At 37.8% G+C, this 26,541-nt stretch overlaps 1 protein-coding gene across 52 annotated transcripts in view, besides 1 other annotated feature; it reads right to left on the minus strand.

Annotated features, from left to right (window-relative positions):
* Window positions 1-25,208, minus strand: part of SUPT20H (SPT20 homolog, SAGA complex component) — a 50,377-nt gene extending 25,169 nt beyond the window's left edge. For 10 of the 52 annotated variants that reach the window (XM_005266467.4, XM_005266464.4, NM_001278481.2 and 7 more), the window contains exons 1-9: window positions 25,079-25,208; window positions 17,008-17,103; window positions 14,084-14,119; window positions 13,398-13,456; window positions 13,055-13,121; window positions 10,767-10,896; window positions 9,598-9,701; window positions 6,096-6,212; window positions 5,925-5,978 (exon numbers count right to left, since the gene is read on the minus strand). In XM_005266467.4, the coding sequence (XP_005266524.1) occupies window positions 5,925-5,978; window positions 6,096-6,212; window positions 9,598-9,701; window positions 10,767-10,896; window positions 13,055-13,121; window positions 13,398-13,456; window positions 14,084-14,119; window positions 17,008-17,010 (570 nt within the window). In that variant the 5' untranslated portion in view covers window positions 17,011-17,103; window positions 25,079-25,208. Of the gene's footprint in view, window positions 1-5,924; window positions 5,979-6,095; window positions 6,213-9,597; window positions 9,702-10,766; window positions 10,897-13,054; window positions 13,122-13,397; window positions 13,457-14,083; window positions 14,120-17,007; window positions 17,104-24,714 lie in introns of all 52 variants that reach the window. The other 42 variants (XM_017020661.2, XM_024449379.2, XM_017020659.2 and 39 more) reach the window with 8 other exon arrangements.
* Window positions 25,120-25,379: a silencer, noted in NCBI's record as "silent region_5271". NCBI's record gives its function as "represses an Ori minimal core promoter by ATAC-STARR-seq in GM12878 lymphoblastoid cells {active_cell/tissue: GM12878}" and the evidence as "EXISTENCE:reporter gene assay evidence [ECO:0000049][PMID:35858748]".

Genomic DNA, 26,541 nt, shown 5'->3' on the forward strand with positions numbered 1-26,541 from the left:
TCAATTCTATGATGTGAGAGACGTGAGGAAGCTGCAGAAGAAAAGTTTGAAGCAGAAAACTGGTTCATGAGGGTTAAGAGTAGAAGCTGTCTCCATAACACAAAAGTGCAAGGTGAGGCAGCCAAGTACTGATATACAAACTGCAACAAGTTATGCAGAAGATCTAAGATAACTGATGAAGGTGGTTACCTTAAACAACAGATTTTCAAATTAAACAAGACAGCCTTATATTAGAAGAATATGCCATCCAGAACTTTCATAGCTAGAGAGAAGTCAATGTCTGGCTTCAAAGCTTCAAAGAACAGGCTGACTCTCTTGTTGGGGGTTAATGCAGCTGATGACTTGATGCTGAAGCCAATGCTTATTTGACCATTCTGAAAATCCTACAATCCTTAAGAATTACTACTCTATCAGTGCTCTATAAATGAAACAACAAAGCCTGGATGACAGCACATCTGTTTACTGCATGTTTTACTGAATATTTTAAGGCCACTGTAGAGACCTACTGCTCAGAAAAAAAAGATTCTTTCAAAAATATTACTGCTCATTAACAATGGCCTTGTCACCCAAGAGCTCTGATGGAGATGTACAAGGGGATTAATGTTTTCATAGCTGCCAACACAATATCCACTCTGCAGCCTATGGATCAAGGACTAATTTTGACTTTCAAGTCTTAATATTTAAAAAATGTATTTTGTAAGGCTTTAGCTGCCATAGATAGTGATTCCTCTGATGGATCTGGGCAAAGTAAATTAAAAACTTTCTGGAAAGGATGTGCCATTGTAGATGACACTAAGAACATGCATGATTCATGGGAGGAGGTCAAAATAGAAACATTAATATGAGTTTGGGAGAAGTTGATTCCAACCTTCATGGATGACTCCAAGGGGTTCAAGACTTCAGGACAAGAAATCACTGCAGATGTGGTGATAGCAAGAGAACTACAATTAGAAGTAGAGAGCCTGAAGATGTGACTGAACCACTATAATCTCATGATCAAACTTGAATGGATGAGTTGCTTCTTATGGATGACCATATACAGTGTTTTTTTTTTTTTTGAGTCAGAGTCTCCCTCTGTCGCCCAGGCTAGAGTGCAATGGCGTGATCCAGGCTCACTGCAACCTTCACCTCCTGGGTTCAAGCAATTCTTGAATTGCTACTCGGCCTAAGCCTCCCGAGTAGCTGGGATTACAGGCAACTGCCACCATGCCCAGCTAATTTTTGTATTTTTAGTAGAGACAGGGTTTCACCGTATTGGCCAGGCTGGTCTCGAACTGCTGACCTTGTGATCCGCCTGCTTCGGCCTCCCAAAAGTGCTGGGATTACAGGCACAAGCCATGGCACCTGGCAAAAGTGGTTTCTTGAGATAGACTCTATTCTTGGCTGTGAACATTGTTGAAATGACAACGTAATATTTATACTACTACATAAACTTAGTTGATAATGCAGCAGCAACAGGGTTTTAGAGGACTAACTCCAATTCTGAAAGAAGTTCTACTGTAGGGTAAAACTGTATCACATGCTATAGAGAACTCTTTCATGAAAGAAACAATCAATGGGGCAAACTTCACTGTTGTCTTTCAAAAAACTGCCACTGCCATCTCAATCTGTCAGATCCTGATCTGTCAGCAGTCATTAATATCCAGGCAATACCTTCCAGAAGCAAAAAGATTATGACTCCCTAAAGGTTCAGATGATCATTAGCATTTTTTAGCAATAAAGTATTTTTGAATTAATGTATATAGATTTTTTTTTAAACATAATGCTATGGCACCCTTAATAGACTACAGTACAGTTGACTCCTGAACAACATGGATTTGAACTATGCAGGTCCACTTAAACTGGAGTTTTTTTTTTTTCTTTGAGACGGAGTCTTGCTCTGTCGCCAGGTTGGAGTGCAGTGGTGCGATCTCAGCTCACCGCAACCTCCACCTCCTAGGTTCAAACAGTTCTCCTGCCTCAGCTTCCTGAGTAGCTGGGACTACAAGCGCACGCCACCATGTCCAGCTAATTTCTGTATTTTTAGAGACGGGGTTTCACCATGTTGGCCGGGATGGTCTCGATCTCCTGCCCTCATGATCCACCCGCCTCAGCCTCCCAAAGTGCTGGAATTACAGGTGTGAGCCACTGCGACCAGCTAGGAGATTTTTTTCAATACAAGTTACACTGAGTGTGCATGCCTCTTCTGCCTCCCCTTCCATCTTCTTTATCTCTTTGCACCCCTGAGACAGCAAGATGAACTTTTCCTCTTCCTCCTCCTTGGCCTACTCAATGTGAAGATGATGAGGATGAAGACCTTTAATATGATATACTTACTGAATAGTAAACATATTTTCTCTTAGGATTTTCTTAATAATGTTTTCTTTTCTTTCTAACAGTTAATTCTAAGAATACAGAGCACAATACACATAACATACAAAATACATGTTAATCGCCAGGCATGGTGGCTCACATCTGTAATCCCAGTACTTTGGGAGTCCGAGGCGGGCAGAACGCTTGAGCTCAGGAGTTCGAGATCAGCCTGGGCAACACAGTGAAATCCTGTCTCTACCAAAAATAAAAAAAAATTAGCTGGGCATGGTGGCATGCACCTATAGTCCCAGCTACTCAGGAGGCCGAGGTGGGAGGATCACTTGAGCCTAGGAGGCAGAGATTGCAGTGAGCTGAGATTGTGCCAATGCACTGCAACCTGAGTTGCAACCTGACTCTGCCTCAAAAAAAAAAAAAAAAAATCCAGTAAGGCTTCCCAGCCAACAGTAGGTATTAGTAGTTAAGTATTAGAGGAGTCAGAAGTTATACATGGGTTTTTGACTGCACAAGGGCCACTGCCCCTAACCTCTGTGTTGTTCAAGGTCAACTATATAGTGTAAATGTAACCTTTTTATAGACTAGGAAACCAAAAAGTTCATGTGACTTGCTTTATTGCAGTATTTGCTTTACGGCAGTGCTCTGGAATCAAACCCACAGTAACTCCGAGGTATGACTATAATTTGTAGAGCACGGAATGGTCAGGTTGTAAGAGTGGCTACTCATTAATTCAAGAAACTATCTGAGCACCTATGATGTGTTAGGCACCTTTCCAGGAACTGGGGATAAGGTAGTGAGCAAAACAAAACCCTCTGCTCTCACAAAACCTATAGGGTCATAAAGGGTTATGGCATTTTTCAGTAACTGTGAAGTAACAGTCCTATCCTATACTCAACTCAACTACATTACAAGAATAAAAATGACTCTGCTAATATTGTGTGAACTCTATATACCCAATTCCAAACATACAGGCTCTTTACTATTATCACATAACATATTTTACTGAATCCTATTATTTTGCTTAACCTCTGAAATATCTTGATAACTAAGGCTATTTTTTTTAAAAAAGTGAATCAATTAATAATATTGCTAAATAAGAATTTGTTAGAATTAACCAGTTGCTTTCTCATGTCCATTAACTAGATCTGGCTGGTTTCTTCCTCATTGTGTCACTTAAGAGTTTATTTTATTCACTGAATTCCTATAAACTGCTAGTTACAACTAGTGGCTTGATTTAATATGGGCTCTTTTTTTTTTTTTTGGACAAGAGTTCTTTATTGGTACTATTACTACTGTTGTGTACTGTCTCTTGCATCAAACCAGGAGGTACACAATAATTGACTGTCTCATCTTCAATCAGTGGGTTTGATCAGATTTCTACATTATAAAATTTCCCATTAACCTATCATCTAATGGTTTTCACATCCAAGAAATACTGCTGTCTAGATTCACTACTTCATTAAGACTTTCAAACTTTTATTTTTTAAAAGTCTATCATTTCTTTTGCACCTATTAGCTGGAAATTTTCCTAAGAATTTTCCCTCAGTTACTTGGCTGCCTAAAATACAGTTCATAACAAGAAGGGCAGGATAAATATTATATTCTCTCCTTTATCAATCTTCAGAGTAAGAATCTGATGCCCTAGCAAACTCTGATGGTAACCAATGAGTTTTTCTGTTTTCTAATATTCTTTTAATAGCTTTTAATCTTTTTGTAGATGACAACATTATAGCCCAAACCAAAACACAATACTTGGTAGTTACTGATGAACTGAAGCTTAGTTTATAATCACATGTCACAGAAAGGATAACTACCATTACTGATATTTTCTTTTGACTTAGTAATTATTCCTCACTATAGTCAGGCAACTGAACACTTTTGTGAGTGGACATCTCATATACAAGGGGTCTTTAAAAAGTTTATGAAAAATGAGTATTAAGAAAAAACTATACATAGGTTTCAAAACTTTTTGCACCAAAATAAACATGTACTAAGCTGTTATAACATGTCTGAACAGAACCTAGTTTGAAACACTAAGAAGGATAAGACATCAGTTTGAAAACAGCCTTTACCAGAGCAACAGGAATTCTGCTAAAACTGAAGCAAGAACAAACATCAAATTGATGGTGAAGCTTGAGTGGAAGAATTGTGAAATCACTGATGCTTTTTGAAAAGTTTATGAGAAGAATGCCTCAAAGAAAGCAGCAGTTTACAAATGGGTAACTTGTTTTAAGAAGGGACAAGACTATGTTGAAGACGAAGCCTGCAGCAGCAGATCTTCCACATCAATTTACGAGGAAAAAAATTCATTTTGTTTGTAACCTAACTGAAGAGGACCAATGATTAACAGCAGAAACAATTGCCAACACTATAGGCCTCTCAACTGGTTCAGCCTGAATAATTTTGACTGAAAAATTAAAGTTGAGTAAACTTTCCACTCGATGGGTACCAAAACCACTGCATCCCGATCAGCTGCAAAAGCAGAGCTTTCAATAGAAATTTTCAACAAGTAGGACCAAGATACTAAAGCATTCTTTCCAGTATAATCCTGAAGATAGTAAAGCACAATTAAGGCAATGGCCACCAAGAGGCAGAAGTGATTCAGTCAAAGCAAAAGCAGACAGATGAAGAGCAAAGATCATGGAAACAGTTTTCTGGGATGCTCAAGACATTTTGCTTGTTGACTTTCTGAAGGAACAAAGAATGATAACGTGCTTATTATGAGTGTTTTGAGAAAGTTAGCCAAAGCTTCGGCAGAAAAATGCCTGGGAAAGCTTCACTAGAGACTTCTGCACCACAATGCCTCTACTCATTCCTCTCATCAAAAAAGAGAAATTTTGTAAGAGTTTTGATGGGAAACCATTAGGTATGCACCTTACAGTCCAGATTTGGCTCCTTCTGACTTCTTTTTGTTTCCTAATCTTAAAAAAAAAAAGTTTAAAAAGTACCCATTTTTCTTCAGTTAATAATGTAGAAAAGATTGCATTGATATGGTTCAGTTCCCAGGACCCTCAGTTCTTCAGGGGTGGACTAAATAAATGGTTGATATCATTTACAAGCATCTTGAACTTGATGGAGCTTATATTGAGAAGAAAAGTTTATATTTTTTATTATTATCTTTTAATTCCAGTTTTCCACAAACTTTCTGAAGTCCCCTCATATAACACTGAGCCAGAACTGGAGGGGTTAACTGGTTATTCTCAGGGGTAAGAGAGTTCCCCTCATTTCAAGGCAACCAGTATAAATGGCAAAGAAAGATAGGCTAGGCTAGGGTTTAGAAACTTGAATTATTTGAAAAAAAAAACCAGTATCTATTTGTAACCATGGTAAAAACAAAACATTTTTCTTCTGTTTGAGAGGAGATAAAGAACTAAGTTTTATCTCATTGAATATATTAGGCCAGCTTGACCTTAAAATGATCTTAGGCAACTTGAGGGATTACTACACATATAAAGAGACCCTTAACTTCTAGATCTTATAAAGGAATACCAGCTTTTCACATAAAGCATCAAACTTAATTATTGAATAAAAATAAGCAGAAAATCACTTTTGCTTAATGATAATTTTTTTTCATCCTATATTTTGCCTGTTTGAGATTAAAAAACAAAACAACTAACCTGGGTCCATTTGTGGTTATCACTTGTTATTGAATGTACATCACAAATTAAAGTCTAGAAGAAATAAAAATTTAAAAAACTTATTAATCTATGCACAAACATATGAAGAATTCGATAAATAAAACTCCCAACTAAAATCTAAAATAGTATTTCTTAATTAAACATCCTTACCTGCATTGTTGGACGTAAGAGAATGTGCCGACTTTGGTAACCAGGAGATTTCATGTTACTGGACTGCCTGTAGTCACGTATTTCTGCTATGACACATCCGCAATGAAAAATATTAACCTGTTTGGGCAAAAATACGTAAACGTCATTTTTTTTTCCAAAAGCCTAAATAAGTGGGTTTATATCAAACATTTCGCATTCTTTACATTCATGCAACATTTCTGGCCACTCATGTATGTACTCTTCAGTAGATTTCCTTGGTAGATTTAACACTATGTAAACCTTTTCAGAGGAAGTATTTCATGTTCATCACTATGACACAAGAAGCAATTTAAAACTATTTAATAGTTTCTAATTATAGATTGACTTTGGCATCTACCAAGTCAACAGTTTGACTTTTGGCATTTACATACTATTATGTTACAGATCCTTGGAACTGCTGTTCTTCTGCAGCTCACAGGCTTACTGTTACATTTCACTAACTTTGTCATTACTATAAAGTTTATCATTGTTATAAATTGCCAACCAACCTTGCCAGTGTTTTAGCTTCTAGATATAACTTCTATATTTGCTCTGCTAAAATTTTCAGAAATATAATTTTGCCCTTAGCCTTTATTAATAAGAGGGAAGCTAAATATAAAATTCAAATGAAAAATAGTTTTTCAGGCTGGGTGCAGTAGCTCATGCCTGTAATCCCAGCTTTGGGAGGCCGAGGCGGGTGGATCACAAGGTCAGGAGATCGAGACCATCCTGGCTAACATGGTGAAACTGCGTCTCTACTAAAAATACAAAAAAATTAGCTGGGTGTGGTGGCGAGCGCCTGTAGTCCCAGCTACTCAGGAGGCTGAGGCAGGAGAATGGCATGAACCCAGGCGGTGGGGCTTGCAGTGAGCCGAGATTGGGCCACTGCATTCCAGCCTGGGTGACAGAACGAGACTCCACCTCAAAAAAAAAAAAAAAGAAAAATAGTTTTTCAGTCCTTTCTATGCTCAAATGTAAGAACTATTATCATCGAAGTCTTGCTAGTTATGACTTGCCATGGTCACTCATAGTATGTTTTTCACCCATTCAGAACTTTTAGTGGGTACTGTGGTCTCCATGTTTTGTCATTCTTATTGTCATTCTTTTAAATAAATATTTACTGAGCAACTACAATGCCTACTATGTGCTAGGCACTATCCAGGTACAGCTTCACAGATACAGTAGTCAGACAACATTTGCTCTCAGTTGTGGGAAGACAGGCAATAAACATGTAAACAGAACAAAGTAATTTTAGATAGTGATGAATTCTATAAAGGAAATCAAATAGGGAAGGGCTAATCTGGATTGTATGTGCAGATAGAAACCTTAGGTTTTACCTAAGATCTGAATCACAAGAAACGGCCAGACACTTCAGGGACAGATCATTCCAGACAGAGGGAATAACATATGAGAAGTTCTTACTGTAGGAACAAGCTTGGAGTGTTTTATTGTGGAAATGAGACAAGGATGGATGGAATGCAGCGAGTGAGGATGAGATCTAGAAGATGAAGACAAACAGGAAAGCAAAGGTTTTGTTCAGAGCACTGGGCACGATCATGTATCTTAAAGAGAGACTGGCATTTGCTGATGGACTGAATGTGGAAGGTAAGGACAGAGTCATCTGTTAGACTGAAGAGACTGGTGATAAAACTGGTTTGGGAGGTAAAATAAAGCTCTGTTTTTGTCATGTTAAATTTGAGGAACCTATTATATATCCAAGAAAATATGTAAGTTAGGAGCTTGGTGGAATGGCCATGGTGAGGCATATAAGCAATAGACTAAGTAACATTTTAAAAACCCATGAAACTGGCTGAAATCATTCAGGGAGAATATTACTAAAGAAAAACAGAGAGCCAAGGACTGAACCTGAAAACACACATGTTTATGGATGGAACAGGGATTATAGTAAAAAAGACCGAAGGATTAGAGAAAGCAGAGGAAAACCAGGAAAATGATGTCTCAGAAGTCAACAGAAAGGCATTTCAAGCAGGACGCAGTTATATCCACTGATCTTTGCTAAGAGGCCAATTAAGAAGAGAACAGAAAAGTGACCAATTATTCAGTATATGAAGATCACTGGTAACTCTGACAAATGCAGCCTCTGCAGAACGATGTCATGATGCCAAATGAGATAGGTGGTGGAAAGAATGGGATCTGCAAAAGAGGAAATGACTATAAATTCTTTGAGTAGCGTGGCTGTCAAGAGTAACAAGAGCAGTAGTTGGAGAAGGATATGAGGTCAAGGGAGGATTTTTTTAAAATTTGAGACATACAGGTTAAGAATCCTTTATCTGAAGTGCTTCAGACCAGAAGCATTTCAGAGTTGGAAATATTTGCATTATACTTAGGTTAAGCAGCCCTAATCAAAAAACCTGAAATCGGAAATGTTCCAATTAGCATTTCTTTTAAGTGTCAGTCAGTGCTCAGATTTTGGAACACTGTGGATTTCAAATTTTCAGATTTGAGATGCTCAACCTGTAACACAGTATGCTTGCATTCTGCATTTAATAGAGAAAGAGAAATAGAAAAAAAGAGAGGTTATAATTTTAAGTCCTTGAGAAGGAAGGGGAGGATCCAGAAAACAAGTGGAGGGGATGGATGTCTATAAACAGTATACATCAACTATTTTAACGGGAAGGCAGGCAGATATGAAGAGAGAGGTAGGGATGCTAGTCGACTGGTGCTAGGAGGAAACGAGAGTTCTCATGTGATGTCTTCTTTTTCCTCAGTAGAGTACACAGTATGGCTGGGGTTAAGTTAAGGCAGTAAGAAGAAAGTAGAACAGGGCAAGGGAGTGCTTACCTAGGCAAGCTATGAACAGAAGTACAGATGTAAAGGCCAGTTTCTGGCCCCCAAGTGAAAAACTTCATAAATATTCAAAGTAGTTTCTTTCATAATTTCTTGATTGTAACTATAGGGAGATTTCCAATTGATGAGCTAATTGTTCTAACTATTTTAGAAGAACTACGTCTCTACGTTTCAGTATACCCTAAAGGTTAAATATCCGACAATAAGCCCATTTCCAGATAGCTATATATGTCTCATTTCATCTTCTATTATTATTAGTTTTAGAGACAGGGTCTTGCTCTATCACCCACGCTGGAGTGCAGTGGTGCAATCACTGCAATTCTGGTTTTCCTCTTCCTTCTCTAATCCTTCCTTCTCTAATCCTGCAGTGGTACAGGAGGATCACTTGAGCCCAGGGGTTTGAGACTGTAGTGAGCTCAAACTCCTGGGCTCAAGTGATCCTCCTGCCTTAGCCTCCCAAAGTGCTGGGATTACAGGCATCATGAGCCACCAAAGCCCAGCCTGATTTCATGTTCTAAAGGCTGTTGGGAACAGTGATAGAAATTAAATATCATCTGTCATGAAACATCATGTAGTCGTTTATATACATATATGTATACATACATAAAAATGTGACATATATATATCATATACATATAACAAATATAAAGACATTTTAAAGACAAAAATTTTGTACCTGAGATTTTTCTAGGAGATCAACCAAAATAGGAGGTAATTCTTCTGCATCCAAATATTCAAGCAACTCTCCTTCTTCATAGGGCAGTCGAATGGTCTCGGAATCTTAATTTAAAACATGAAGTTTGAAAATGATCATGCTCACTGAAAGCTTAGCTGTATAATTCAAATGGCTTTTCAAAGAACTATATATAATAAAACCAAAAGGCATTTCAACCAAGCAAGGATCAAAAAAAATAAAAATAAAAAACAAAACCAAAAGGCCCTCCTAATGTCCTTCTTAAGGGGGAAAAAAAAAACCTAACACATTATGAAAAAACATCTGGCATAACGTCACAATCTGAACCACAGCCCAAAGCAAAATAATCAGAATATGATAAAATTCCAATGTCAAAGTAACTGAAAGTTCACTGAAGACCAATTAATCTAATCTGGAAATCAGAGGGACAATTTGGTGCCTTATCTGAAAAGTGGTCACTTTTAGAACAAAATTCTCTTGGTGTTACACTTTACAATTAATTACCAACACACACACAAAATTCCAGCTATGTGAGTTCCTTGTAGAATTCACATTATCATCATATTAAATTTTTACACCTCTTTAATGAAACTGAAGTGTTTCTATTTTTAAATTATTTTCATATTCACCATTAACAGAAATGTTCATATTCAGTATTAATAGAAATATTTTAATATGTGAAAATTACTCAAAAGGCAGTGAGTCTGCTTAATTTTGAAGATTTCAGACTCATGTTCAAACTGCAGGACTACCTACCTTTAAACACGGTATGCTATCTTAAAATATAAATAGCAATAGAATGAAAGGAAATTCTATTTTAATCATCTGTAAGTTATGCCTCTATAATTTTCCTTTTTTTTTTAACCTTTCCTTTGGTTCTGAGATGCTTTTATAATTGGACTTGAAAGACATATCAATTAGAATACTTCTAAAATGCACATTCAGGAAAGATAATTGTAAGAGAGATAATTTCTAATATTCTACCAAAACATATCATAAGGAAGAAAACTGGGATCAAAATCTGTTTTTATCACTAGGTCATCACTATCTGAAGGACAAATGCTTTAGCAGGTTAAAAAACTACTTTAAAAAAACCGCACATCCTGCCTAGCAAAAGTATTTTGTGGCAGCTGTGCTCTAGAGGGTCTTACCTGATCCGTTTTTTCCCCTGAGCATCAGAGAATATCCCTCATTTCCTGGGTATAGATTGACCACTAAACATGACAAAGTCTCTTGCATAACAAGCTTCTCTAACAAGTTCACATTTCTTCTTAATTTCTGCTTTAAAAAGAGGCAGAGCTCATGAAAATAATCCAGTATAACCTTAACAAATAATGCTATGATTTAACAAAATCAGGCTTGAATTAACCTTTTGGTGCTCTTTCTGCATTATGATTCTGAATAAATGGAGAAGGCTCACAAAACTATAGCCACTACGTATGGGACAGCTATGTAAACTTAATTTTTATTTACTACTATGTTTTATGCAAATTAATTCATATTTTAAAAATGGGTGACCTATAACACAATAAAAGCACTTAAATATAAAACAAGTACTTTTGAATACTTAAGAAATAAAAATATTTAAATAAGTAGTATATAAAACCATTAAATGCAAATATATAAAACACAGAAGCATACAGTTTCCACTAAGTAGAAGTCTAACCTAAAGAATTTGGGGCATTCTCTTTGGTTGTATCTAAGAAGTGCACATTTCTTAAATATTTTATAGGCTAAATAAGATACAAACAAGTTCAACAGCTCTAAGCTGAAATGTTGAACCTAAAAATATCTAATTGGTAAGACGAAGTAAGCAATTTGGACATTTTCTATAAATCCAATTCAACAGCTCCTTAAAAACCACAACAAAGTCCATGATTTTAAAAATGCTTATAATTTAAAATAAAACCTACCTACTTACAGATTTAACAAATCATGTCATCAAATCTTATTTAGCAAAAATAACAGTAAATTTTTTTAGAATCTCAAAAATCAAAGTGTTTTGAATATCTTATATTTAGTAAATATATATTAAACATATATCATACACACATACAGAAAGAAGTGATAAATTCTTAATCTGTCATCACCATAGAATCAAAACACTAAGCAATCTGAACATTTTTTAAAAAGGCAAACAACTTTTAACCACTTTGATGTTAAACTAGTAAAGAGAGACTTAAAATGTTAGTCTTTTCAGTGTAGAGAAAACCCTCATAATTTGACTTAAGACAGAATTAGATAAATTTTTACAGTATGTGTACCTCTTCAACAAAACAAATTAGCTACCACAGAGTTGATCCCATTTAGACTAGAGGTTGCAAATTTTCTTTCTTAATGGGCCAGATAGTATTTTACGCTTGTGGGCCAAATAGTTTGTGCTGCAATACTCAATGTGTCTTTGTACCTGTGAGGCAGGCCTAGACAACATACAAACCAACAGGTGTGATGGGTTCCAATAAAAATTCATTTATAAAAACATGCAGTAGGCCACATTTAGCTGGTGGAGAGTGGCTTGCCAATTCCAATTTAGAATCTTCATATATGTAGCTCTCTTATTTTAGTTCTGTCACTGACATGATGAATATGTACATTCTATTGCTTGTAGTGATGGTTTCATGAGGTGTTTCTATAATGCACATGTCAAAACTTAAAAAATCTATAAACATGTACAATTTATTGTATGTCAAGTATGTATCAGTAGAACTTATGAAAAACATACTGTAAGATTTACTTATAAGTTTAAAAATAATTTTTTTCCTAATGTAAAGATTTTAAAGTTAGACACTACTGGAATTCCACTGTTTTTGGCCTAAATAGTAAAACTGTATTCATTTTTAAAGACAGACAACAAAAGCTCATAGAGACGTTTAGACCCTTCCAACCCGAGGGCTCCAAGACATCAATAAATCGACTTCTGTTACATGTCTACTACCCATATCTTTATGCCAAATAAAAATGAATTAAGTTAAATTGGCCATGAACTCGGTTTATGACCAAGCTCACTTTTTATTACTGTACTTGAATTTCATACATGCTCTGTAATAGCTCTGGCTTTCCAGTTTAAATCATCATGAGAAAACAGGTTACTGCTATAAATCTGTAAATAACTTCTCAGGAGGAAGTGCTATAAACTCATAAATCACTTCTCGGGGGAAGAAGAAGCAAAAGATAATATATACTGTGGCTTTGCTTATGACTTCCTAGTGAGACAGTCTGATACTCAATATAACTGTTCCTTCACTCCTACCTCAGCAGGTGATCTCTGCCTGGTGCCAGATTAGCCAGAGCTCTGAGTCAGCTACAGAATTGACTAGGGTCAGGTTAAAAAAGATGTTAGTTCACTCACACACACAAAAATAATACTCCAAATGTAACTCCTCCAAATTCCTCTCTTCTACATTTCAAAAGCTACAACATAATAAAAATGTATACTTACCTTAACTTCAGGTTCTTTTTCACATTCTTCAATATACAAGTCATAAAGTTTTTGAAATACAGATTTTCTAAAAAAATTTAATGAAACAAATATATAAAATGTTAACAGAGTAATCATCATGACATGAATGTTATTTAATTTTTTCCTAAATTTTCACATTTTTGCCTCAATTTCCCAAAAACTGGGGTGGAGCTGAATATAGTAGCTAACATCAACTTAGAAATTCCTAATACATGCAAAGAACCTATAAAATTTCTAGCTCAGTCCCTACGAGGAATGCAATAAAAGGTAGCTATCATCATATTTCAATGAATCTAAGATGTTACCAATTAATTATTCATACCTTCCACTTGATAGGTATTTCCTTTTAGGAGGTCTCTGTCGGGCACTTTCAATGACATACTAAAAAACAAAAGTTTATGAGAACAGCTTGCTTTTTGCTTTTGACTATGAACAACTGTATTGAGTATATCTAAAACATACGTAAGGCTAAAAAGGCTATTCACTTAACTCTCTGAATTACATCTTGTAGGAAAAACTACTTAACATCTAAAGATAAGTTTCAAACAAATGAAATTTGAACTGCACCACGATTTAGCAGAGTATTTCATTGCCATAAGCAAAATCATAGTTTCACAACCATGACTTCACAGGTCAGAAATATTATCAATATATTTTATGGTTGTTCAAAATATGCTTACTGTATGAAAAATTGTATACTGTATACCTTAGCTATTTTTTCCTTTGAGTAATTAGAAAACTTGTCAAAACAGGAAAATACAATTTTAGAAATTCTATATCCTTCTTCAAGTAAGTTTTATTCTGTAACATTATTATCTTGAGGATTCCAAGTAACAGGTGATCCAAATATCACCTGGTATTTTTATATATTTACAGCAAAATGATATGCATACTTGTCCTAAAATAGTAATGTGCTCCTTTAAAAATCACATACAAAAATCTCTTAAAACTGAGCTTTTGTCAATTAAAGACAACACTATTTCAATATGTAACTTAGTCACACCTCACCTCTGCACGATCCAAAGCTAGTTCTAAAGCTTGTTGCTGTAAAAAGTAAATAGTATATTTGGTAATATTAGTTATTTCCACAAAAAAATTTAATATACATTTAACATTTCTAATGTTTTCTAAAACAGGTCTAATATATTTTCCTTTATTTGTCTCCTCCACTCCACTCTATGATCAATATATATATAACAAAGAAAAAATATGAGTCTTGGGCACCTGATTACTAACAACAAACTAAATAAGAATGCTTACACGGTCTCTCTGGTCAGTGTTTGTGAGGCTAATATAGGGGAGGTTTGGATATGGCAGCTATCATCACTTCATAGACATTAATTTTTAAGAGCACCATTCAAAAAAATATACTGGCCATAAAGTATACAATCAAAATGAACCAAAGGCTAAACTCTCCTCATCTGCTAAAAATCTTGAAAATTGAGAGTGCGGTTGTACTGGCACTTAACATTAACTTAGAAATTGCTAATATATTAATGAAAAAAACCTACAACATCTCTAGCTCAGTGCCTAGAAAGAATAAATGATGGCTATCATTGCCATGTTTCAATGAATTCAAGATGCCATTGAAAGCATGCATCATTATTCTGCATAACATTAAGACAGAAAAAAATATGCTATCAATTCTAAGATATTCTTGAGTATCAACTCATCATCAATTCAGTAATATTAAAATATAAAAGAAAATGAACCTCAGAATTGATGAAATATATTACTGTTACTACATGTAAGGTTTGAGATCTACTAGTAGATCCCTATCCGTTCATTTTTTAGAGACGAGGAAAAAACATGGTGAAGCTATGCTATGTCTTCATTTGTAAAGCCATCATTTCTAAAGACACATATGAATAAAAGTACTAGGTTCTAAACAAAATTAAACATGGCCAGGCATGGTGGCTCATGCCTGTAATCCCAGCACTTTGAGAGGCTGAGGCGGGAGGATCACCTGAGGTAAGGAGTTCAAGATCAGCCTGGCCAACATGGTGAAACCCTATCTCTACTAAAAATACAAAATTAGCTGGGCGTGGTAGCACGCGCCTGTAGTCCCAGCTACTCAGGAGGCTGAGGAAGGAGAATCACTTGAACCCGGGAGGCAGAGGTTGCAGTGAGCCCAGATCGTGCTATTGTACTACAGTCTGGGCAAAAAGGGCAAAACTCCATCTCAAAAAAAACAAAAACAACAAACAAATAAAACAAAACCCAAATATACCACCAGTGGTTTTCTTTCTAGTTTTCTGTTTTATAGTCTTTTTCATTCATAATGATAGTCATTTTTAAATTTTATTAAGAGGCACAGAACTTTCAGTTTTTATTTAAAAGGACTTAAATTCTTCTGTCTTATTTTGCAGATTCCAATACCTCAACCTACCAAATTGCATGTGGGTAAAAACTCCTACCACCCACCAAAGTCCCAGGAGGGTAAGGGGGAAAAACAAATACTGCCACCCTTTGGAAATCATGGGAACTTTTAAGTGACCACCTAGTCCTAAGGATGGAGAATTTGTATAATTCCAAAAATAGTGGGCCTTCTTGCACTGTTCAATAAAAAACCCACATTATCAAATATCTAAATATGATAAGTGAACAAAGTCTGAAATCTGCCATCTTTTCAAAACGTTCAGTTATAATAAATCTACACTAATTTGCTTTGTTAAAAAATCTTGGCCAGGCACTGTGGCACATGCCTGTAATTCCAAAGCTTTGGGAGGCCAAGGTGGGAAATCAGGAGTTCAAGACCAGCCTGGACAATATAGTGAGATTCTGTCACTACCAAAAAAAAAAAAAAAAAAAAAAACTTATAAGAAGCGGATTCCCAATGAAACTGGTTCCCAGGATTCAAGTTAAGATTCCTGACTCCCATTTTCCCTGATCCCATGTTCCACCATGAAAACATAATTCTGTACATATACACTTCACAAATACAGAAGGTTCTTTTAAATTTTGCCCATAAAATTTGTTTGTATCAAAAAATTATAATAAACAAAATCAAATATATATAGTCTAGGACAATTTTAAACAGCCAGTCATCTCAAGTAAATATTTCATCTTCTGAAATTAAAACTTCAAAGGGTCTAGTGAGACATGCATACATACATAAATAAAAGCATCATTCATTCATTATCTCCTTCAAAAACTTAAGAGGAAAATGATTAGGTAATATAGATGCAAAATACAAGGTGTTGTCAGAACCCCACTGTGATACTTCTACTTTTCTCTAATAGGGGAGGAGTAGATAGGCAAGAACCAAGAGGAGAAGGAAGACAGATGTTTTCTGAAGTTTGTGACGCAGAATAGGGGTTATCTAAATAAATAACATGGTGGTCAATGTTCATTTATTCTCTGTCAAATGCTGCTGCTTCTTTAAAACATTAAAAAGTGTTTTTCTCCCTTAGTCTGTCATTTCTTAATGGCAAAAGTTAAATGCCTACTCCTAACTATGTTTAGTGACTGTAAGTCAGTGAACAGAAATGTGCCATTAGAAGATTAGCACTGATGCTGCCTGAAATACGTTATATGCAGTTAGCAGGTTACATTTGTTTTTAAATTTTAATAAAATCTAAAGAAAAGCTTTAAAATACGAGAAATCTATACTCCCCAAAACTATTTGTATTTATACCCATCCTCCTTGCCAACGATTTGGAATATGGCAAAGTAGATATAGGTAAATATTTTTAATACTTCATAAATACAAGCACAGATAGATGGATGAATGTGATCACTGTAACACTGATTAGTGAGCAATATACTTTATAGAGAAGACTTTGCAATGGGATTGCTAAGTAATTTCCCAGTTGGGATAACCTGTACAGCTTACAAGAGTATTTCTATATCTACCATACAAATATCTTTATGAAGATGAAGGAAGAGAACATTCTAAAACACAAATTTGAACATACTGAGCTGAAGCTTACCATTATGGCATAAAATAAGGGTCCAAAAGAAGAGATAACTTATGTACGCTGATGAAGTGGGGTGAACACCATGCCTTTAACATCAATCTTACAGTACTGAAAAGCAAAAACAATAAAACCCCAATATTAACATAAGGCTATTAAGAGAAAAAAAAAGAGATTACATATTTCATAATTAACAAGGAAAATTACTTATATTTTTAAGACATACATATTTTTAAGACACTTTTTAATAATGAGTAACAATAAAATTCATGTACCACAACCTATCCACTCACTGCTGAAAAGTAGTTTCAACTAGGAAAGGCAAAACACACTTGCCAAGTTACAATTATTACTCCTTTTCTCAAAAATACTTAACATCTCCAGAGAGAAAAAAAATACATTTTTTAAAATCTCTTCTCTATCACTACTGTTGCTATTCTCATTTTTCCTTTGAATTATTTTAATAGCTTGCCCACTGGGCTTGATCACTATCCAGTTCACTTTACAAATCACAGATATAATCATGTCTGCTGATAAAAAATCCTCTTATTAATAAGAGAGGACACAAACAAATAGAAAAAAAATCCATGCTCATGGATAGGAAGAATCAATATTGTGAAAATGGCCATATTGCCCTAAGTACTCGTAGATTCAATGCTATTACCATCAAGCTACCATTAACTTTCTTCACAAAACTAGGAAATACTACTTTAAATTTCATGTGGAACCAAAAAAGAGCCTGTATAGCCAAGACAATCCTAAGCAAAAAGAACAAAGCTGGAGGCATCATGCTGTCTGACTTCAAACTATACAATGCTACAGTAACCAAAACAGCATGCTACTGGTACCAAAACAGATATACAGACCAACAGAACAGAGGCCTCAGAAATAACACCACACATCTACAACCATCTAATCTTTGACAAACCTGACAAAAACAAGCAATGGGGAGAGGATTCCCTATCTAATAAATGGCCCTGGGAAGACTGGCTAGCCACATGCAGAAAACAGAAATTGGACCCCTTTCTTACACCTTAACAAAAATTAACTCAAGATGGAATAAAGACTTACAACATAAAACCATAAAACCATAAACCATAAAAACCCTAGAAGAAAACCTAGGCAATACCATTCAGGACATAGGCATGGGCAAAGACTTCATGACTAAAGCACCAAAAGCAATTGCAACAAAAGCCAAAATTGACAAATGGGATCTAATTAAACTAAAGAGCTTCTGCTCAGCAAAAGAAACTATCATCAGAGTGAACAGGCAACCTACAGAATGGGCGATAATTTTTTGCAATCTATCCTTCTGACAAAGGTCTAATACCCAGAATCTACAAAGAACTTAAATTTAGAAGAAAAAAACAACCCCATCAAAAAGTGGGTGAAGGATATGAACGGACACTTCTCAAAAGAAGACATTTATGCGGCCAACATATGAAAAAAAGCTCATTATCACTGGTCATTAGAGAAATGCAAATCAAAACCACAATGAAATACCATCTCACACCAGTTAGAATGGCAGTCATTAAAAAGTCTGGAAACAGATGTTGGTGAGGCTGCAGAGAAACAGGAACACTTTTACACTGTTGGTGGTAGTGTAAATTAGTTCAACCATTGTGGAAGACGGTGTGGCAATTCCTCAAGGATCTAGAACCAGAAATACTGTTTGACCCAGCAATCCCATTACTGGGTATATACCAAAGGATTATAAATCATTCTACTATAAAGACACATACACACGTAACGTATGTTTACTGGAGCACTATTTACAATAATGAAGACTTGGAACCAACCCAAATGCCCACCAATGATAGACTGGATAAAGAAAGGGTGGCACATATACACCATGGAATACTATGCAGCCATAAAAAAGAATGAATTCATGTCCTTTGCAGTGACATTAATGATTCTGGAAACCATCATCCTCAGCAAACTAACACAGGAACAGAAAACCACACATCACATGCTTTCACTCATAAGTGGGAGCTGAACAGTGAGACCACATGGACACAGGGAGGGGAACATCACACGCTGGGGCCTGTTGGGGGGTTGGGGGAAAGGGGATGGAGAGCATTAGGACAAATACCTAACACATGCGGGGCTTAAAACCTAGATGACGGGTTGATAGGTACAGCAAACCACCATGGCACATGTATACCTATGTAACAAACCTGTACATTCACCACATGTATTCCAGAACTTAAACTAAAATTAAAAAAAAAAAAGATACATTATCTAGCCTATTTGATACAAAAAACAAAAACAAAAACAAAACGAAACCTCACTCCTTGGGTACATATGTTTCTAATATTTGGTGGAAAGATTCATTCAAAAACTCAATGAATCCAGGAGCTGGTTTTTTGAAAGATCAACAAAATTGATAGACTGCTAGCAAGACTAATAAAGAAGAAAAGAGAGAAGAATCAAATAGACGCAATAAAAAATGATAAAGGGGATATAACCACCGATCCCACAGAAATACAAACTACCATCAGAGAATACTATAAACACCTCTACGCAAATAAACTTGAAAATCTAGAAGAAATGGATAAATTCCTCGACACATACACCCTCCCAAGACTAAACCAGGAAGAAGTTGAATCTCTGAATAGACCAATAACAGGCTGTGAAATTGAGGCAATAATTAATAGCTTACCAACCAAAAAAAGTCCAGGACCAGATGGATTCACAGCCGAATTCTACCAGAGGTACAAGGAGGAGGTGGTACCATTCCTTCTGAAACTATTCCAATCAATGGAAAAAGAGGGAATCCTCCCTAACTCATTTTATGAGGCCAGCATCATCCTGATACCAAAGCCTGGCAGAGACACAACAAAAAAAGAGAATTTTAGACCAATATCCCTGATGAACATCGATGCAAAAATCCTCAATAAAATAATGGCAAATCGAATCCAGCAGCACATCAAAAAGCTTATCCACCATGATCAAGTGGGCTTCATCCATGGGATGCAAGGCTGGTTCAACATACGCAAATCAATAAACGTAATCCAGCATATGAACAGAACCCATGACAAAAACCACGATTATCTCAATAGATGCAGAAAAGGCCTTTGACGAAATTCAACAACGCTTCATGCTAAAAACTCTCAATAAATTAGGTATTGATGGGACGTATCTCAAAATAATAAGAGCTATTTATGACAAACCCACAGCCAATATCATACTGAATGGGCAAAAACTGGAAGCATTCCCTTTGAAAACTGGCACAAGACAGGGATGACCTCTCTCACTACTCCTATTCAACATAGTGTTGGAAGTTCTGGCCAGGGCAATTAGGCAGGAGAAGGAAATAAAGGGTATTCAATTAGGAAAAGAGGAAGTCAAATTGTCCCTGTTTGCAGATGACATGATTGTATATCTAGAAAACCCCATTGTCTCAGACCAAAAACTCCTTAAGCTGATAGGCAACTTCAGCAAAGTCTCAGGATACAAAATCAATGTGCAAAAATCACAAGCATTCTTATACACCAATAACAGACAAACACAGAGCCAAATCATGAGTGAATTCCCATTCACAATTGCTTCAAAGAGAATAAAATACCTAGGAATACAACTTACAAGGGATGTGAAGGACCTCTTCAAGGAGAACTACAAACCACTGCTCAAGGAAATAAAAGAGGATACAAACAAATGGAAGAACATTCCATGCTTATGAGTAGGAAGAATCAATATCGTGAAAATCGCCATATTGCTCAAGGTAATTTATAGATTCAACGCCATCCCCATCAAGCTACCAATGACTTTCTTCACAGAATTGGAAAAAACTACTTTAAAGTTCATATGGAACCAAAAAAGAGCCCACATTGCCAAGTCAATCCTAAGCCAAAAGACAAAGCTGGAGGCATCACGCTACCTGACTTCAAACTATACTACAAGGCTACATTAACCAAAACAGCATGGTACTTGTACCAAAACAGAGATATAGACCAATGGAACAGAACAGAGCCCTCAGAAATAATGCCACATATCTACAACCATCTGATCTTTGACAAACCTGACCAAAACAAGCAATGGGGAAAGGATTCCCTATTTAATAAATGGTGCTGGGAAAACTGGCTAGCCATATGTAGAAAGCTGAAACTGGATCCCTTCCTTAGCCCTTACACAAAAATTAATTCAAGATGGATTAAAGACTTAAATGTTAGACCTAAAACCATAAAAACCCTAGAAGAAAACCTAGGCAATACCATTCAGGACATAGGCGAGGGCAAGGACTTCATGTCTAAAACACCAAAAGCAATAGCAACAAAAGCCAAAATTGACAAATGGGATCTAATTAAACTAAAGAGCTTCTGCACAGCAAAAGAAACTACCATCAGAGTGAACAGGCAACCTACAGAATGGGAGAAAATGTTTGCAATCTACTCATCTGACAAAGGGCTAATATCCAGAATCTACAATGAACTCAAACAAACTTCCAAGGAAAAAACAAACAACCCCATCAATCAGTGGGCGAAGGATATGAACAGACACTTCTGAAAAGAAGACATTTATACAGCCAAAAGACACATGAAAAAATGCTCATCACTGGCCATCAGAGAAATGCAAATCAAAACCACAATGAGATACCATCTCACACCAGTTAGAATAGCGATCATTAAAAAGTCAGGAAACAACAGGTGCTGGAGAGGATGTGGAGAAATAGGAACACTTTTACATTGTTGGTGGGACTGTAAACTAGCTCAACCATTGTGGAAGTCAGTGTGGCGATTCCTCAAGGATCTAGAAGTAGAAATACCATTTGACCCAGCCATCCCATTACTGGGTATATACCCAAAGGATTATAAAACATGTTGCTATAAAGACACATGCACACGTATGTTTATTGCAGCACTATTTACAGTAGCAAAGACTTGGAACCAACCCAAATGTCCAACAATGATAGACTGGATTAAGAAAATGTGGCACATATACACCATGGAATACTATGCAGCCATAAAAAATGATGAGTTCATGTCCTTTGCAGTGACATGGATGAAGCTGGAAACCATCATTCTCAGCAAACTATCGCAAGGACAAAAAACCAAACACTGCATGTTCTCACTCATAGGTGAGAATTGAGCAATGAGAACTCATGGACACAGGAAGGGGAACTTCACACACCAGGGCCTGTTTTGGGGTGGGAGGAGGGGGGAGGGATAGCATGAGGAGATATACCTAATGTTAAATGACAAGTTAATGGGTGCAGCACACCAACATGGCACATGTATACATATGTAACAAACCTGCACGTTGTGCACATGTACCCTAAAACTTAAAGTATAATAAAAAGAAAAAAAAAAAAAGAAAATCTTCTTTTCTATAACTACAGGAGTTCTTATCCTGGCTGCACAAGAGTAACTTGCAGAGCTTCAAACTGTGGGATGCCTGTGACCCACCTGCTTGAGACTGATTAAGTGGTCTAGAGTGAGGCACAGTCCCCATTTTTGGAGCTCCCCAGACGAGTCAAACGTGCTGCCAGGGTTGAAGCTCACTCTGCCTAGCAAAGGATGGTGCGTAACATTTGCTCTGAGATAAGACTGGGCATGGTGGTTCACACCTGTAACCCCAGGACTTTGGGAGGCCCAGGTGAGAGGATCATCTGAGCTGAGGAGTTTGAGACCAGCCTGGGCAACATAGTGAGACTTGTCACTACTAAGGGAAGAAAAAAAAATTAGTCCAGCATGGTGGCACAGGTCCCAGCTACTCGGTAGGCTGAGGCAGGAGGATCACTTAAGCTTGGGAAATAGAGGCTGCAGTGAGCCATGATCACACCACTGTACTCCAGCCTGGGTAAAAGAGCAAGACCCTGTCTCAAAAAAAAAAAAGTTAGAAATAAAAATAAATAGAAAACATTTGCTCTGAGACTGATGACAAATAAAAATTATTTTTAATCTATTCACCTAACTTCATGTAACCACTACTGGGTGTCTACACAGCTGAACTAAAGCACAACTTCTGATGACAGAAAACAAGATTTTCCAGGTAAAACAGTTTTGCTTTGATTTTTGGTGAACCCCAAAGCTTTGTTTTTTGCCAAGCCATTAAAAAAAAAAAAAAAAAAAAAAGGAAAGGGCCAGGTGGGGTGTGGCTCACGCCAGTAATCCCAGCACTTTGGGAGGCAGAGGCTGCCAGATGGCCTGAGCCCAGGAGCAGTAGTTCCAGACCTGCCTGAGCAACATGGGGAAAGTGTCTCTACAAAAAAATACAGAAGGCCGGGTGCAGTGGCTCACACCTATAATCCCAGCACTTTGGGAGGCCAAGGCAGGTGGATTGCTTCAGCCCTGGAGTTCGAGACCAGCCTGGACAACATGGCGAAACCCCGTCTCTACTAAAAACACAAAAATCAGCCGGGTGTGGTGGCGTACACCTGAAATCCCAGCTACTCAGGAGGCTGAGGCAAGAGAATCACTTGAACCTGGGAGGTGGAGGCTGCAGTGAGCGAAGATCGCGCCACTGCACTGCAGCCTGGACGACATAGAGAGACTCCGTCTCAAAAAAAAAAAAAAAAAAAAGTTGGCTGGGGCGGTGGCTCAGGCCTGTAAGAGGCAGAAGCGGGTGGGTCACTTGAGGTCAGGAATTCGAGACCAGCCTGACCAACAATGGTGAAACCCAGTCTCTACTAAAAAAATTAAAAATTAGCCGGGTGTGTTGGCACACACCTGTAATCCCAGCTACTCCGGAGGCTGAGGCAGGAGAATGGCTTGAACTGGGAGGCAGAGGTTGCAGTGAGCCAGGATCGCCCCATTGCACTCCAGCCTGGACAACAAGAGTGAAACTCCGTCTGAAACTTTAAAAAATGGACTAACCTCCTAATACAACACAAACACAAGCACCATACAACTGTAAATGATTTACGATCATTTACAATGAGTAAGATATTACTCCTACCCTTGAAAAGCTCGTAGGAGGTTTAAGTTGAATTTAGGTGAACGTGAAAATTTTCTGACCACTGAATTTGAAGATGAAGATACACTATGTACTTTTCGGACAAAATGTGATGACTTTAAGATTTCTTGTCACTAAATTGGGGATGGGGGCTTACTAACTTTAAATTATTTAAGTACTTCAGACAAAAACTAATAACTTCATATCTCTCACAAAGCAAACATTCTGTCTATACACAGAATTTACTAGAACCTGTGAGGAAACTGTAATCATTATCATTTCCGTTTTACAGAATAAGGCAATCAGAACAACTGACTTTCCTAACATCACAGACCTAGATCAGAATTCAGAACTCTGTGTCCAATCTTAGGTCCCTTCCAATATTACAACCTGCAAACTAATCAAACCGGCATCTGTTTTTACATTTCTTTAAAAAAAGCAAAGCAATTAAAAAAAGGACCCAATTCTGCTCAGAGACGAATATGTATTTCTTAATTTGGATCTAACTTTATAACATGGTGATCAACCCAAGTACACTGTACTCGACTCCGAAAATCCTGCTCGTCACTTTATATTTTGAGTCCTACTAGAGACTTTGATGAATTGCACTCAAGAAGACGCGGCCCCCACTACGCAGTGGCTACGGGAGATGGCTTCCAGGGCAACTGTTCTCCAAGTTCATTTCTGAGCGCCGGGTAACCATGGCCAGTAATTAATCCAATTCTAAGCGTTGCTATCAATTCTACGCGTTGCTATCAATTCTACTGATTTCCCTGATCGACCAGAGTCTTCCCATTGCAGGAGCTTTTGTCACAACTTAGGCTTTACCTGTACAACCGTCATCTCCACAGAGGAGCGACAAGCCTTTATGCAATATGGACACCAAGAAAACCGCCTTCGAAGACACGCAAGGCAAAATTCTTGCCAGTGTCCGGAAATACCCGTCTCTGGAACCCAAAAGTCAAACTAAAATTAAAAGTTCGGCTTAGCAACACCGCGAAAGGCGATGTAGGCGTCCACCTGGAGTTTAGCTGCCTCAACCTCCGCCCCGGCCTGCCGGGTCTCTGGGGACCCCGTCTTCCTCCAGCGGGCTCTGGGATGCGGCCCGCTCACCTCTGACCCTGGCCGGATCTCGCGCGTCTAAGCCACCGCGTTGCCAGTCGCTGGCCACCCACCTACCGCCACCGCCCACCTGTGCGGGTCGCCTCGCCGCTAGGCCCCAAGACGGCGCCGCCTGCTCGGCAGCAAAGCCCACCCGCCCCGTCGGCGGCTCAGTGCTGCACCCCCACCAACAGCCAGTTCCGGCGGCCGCACTTCCGATTGGCAGGCTGGGCCGAGGGGCGGGGAAGGCGGGCGGAAGGGGAGGAGCCGGGAGGGCGGGGCCGCTGCCAGGAGCCTGGAGCGCTGCGTTCCGCGCAGGACGCCGGTGAGGCCCGCAGAGACTTGCGTCCGGGCGGGAGGCGGGGCCCAGGATCTCTGCTCAATCCTGGAGTCCGAGTCCGCAAAGTGGGAGGGAGGGTGTAGATGTGAATTTGGGGAAAAACGACCCTGTTGAATTTCTAGAGTGGAAGAAACATAGAACTAGCTTTTCTCTTTGCTTAGCACATACAAATGGAAAAACAGCGACACCGTTACCTACATTTACTAGTCCAATGCGTACAACCTTCTGTAGTATATCAACTGCCAATGAGTTTATGTTTTTAAAAAAACCACCCCAGAGAAGGGTTCTAAAAATTCAGAAACCGCATTACTAGCACACATTGTAAGGTCTGTTTTGTTTTGTTTGTTCGTTTGTTTTTCAGACAGAGTCTCGCTCTGTCGCCCAGGCTGGAGTGGAGTGGAGAAATCTCAGCTAACTGCAACCTTTGCCTCCTGGGTTCAAGCGATTCTCCCTGCCTCAGTCTCCGGAGTAGCTGGGATTATAGGCGTGCACCACCACACCCGGCTAATTTTTGTATTTTTAGTAGAGACTGTTTCACTATGTTGGGCAGGCTGCTCTTGAACTCCTCATCTCAAGTGATCCACCCGCCTTGGCCTCCCAAAGTGCTGGGATTACAGGCGTGAGCCATCATGCACGGCCTGGGGTGAATCTTTTTAATGAGCATTTATTATTTGCCGTTCACAATGCCAAGGGTCATAATGAATGAAAGTGTCTTGGAATTAGAGTTAGTGGTTGCACACATTATAAGTGTATTAAAGTACACTCCAAAATAAAATCCGAACACATTAAGTGGTTACTCCCATTCCTCCCTCTCTCAGCCCCTGGCAAATGCCAATCAGCTTTCAAACTGTGGTACCTATTACGGATATTTCATATAAATGGAATGTGTGACCTTTTGGTCTGTCTTCGTAGCATAATCTTTTGCAGGTTCACCTTGTACACCTTGTTGCATGTATCGGTACTTCATGTCTCTTTATGGCTACTATTCCACTGTACCTAGATGCCACAGTTTTACCTGTCCATCCACTGATGGACATTTGGGTTGTTTCCACTTTCGGGCTATTGTGAATAGCAATGATATGAACATTTGTATACAAGTATTTGTTCGAGTCCCTGTTTTCAATTCTTTTGGGTATAAACATAGTGGAACTTCTGGGTCTTATAGTAATTCTACGTGAAAATATTTGAGGAACCCATAAACAAATGTTTCTACA

This window comes from Homo sapiens, chromosome 13 (genome assembly GCF_000001405.40).
Source record: "Homo sapiens chromosome 13, GRCh38.p14 Primary Assembly".
Lineage (NCBI taxonomy): Eukaryota > Metazoa > Chordata > Mammalia > Primates > Hominidae > Homo > Homo sapiens.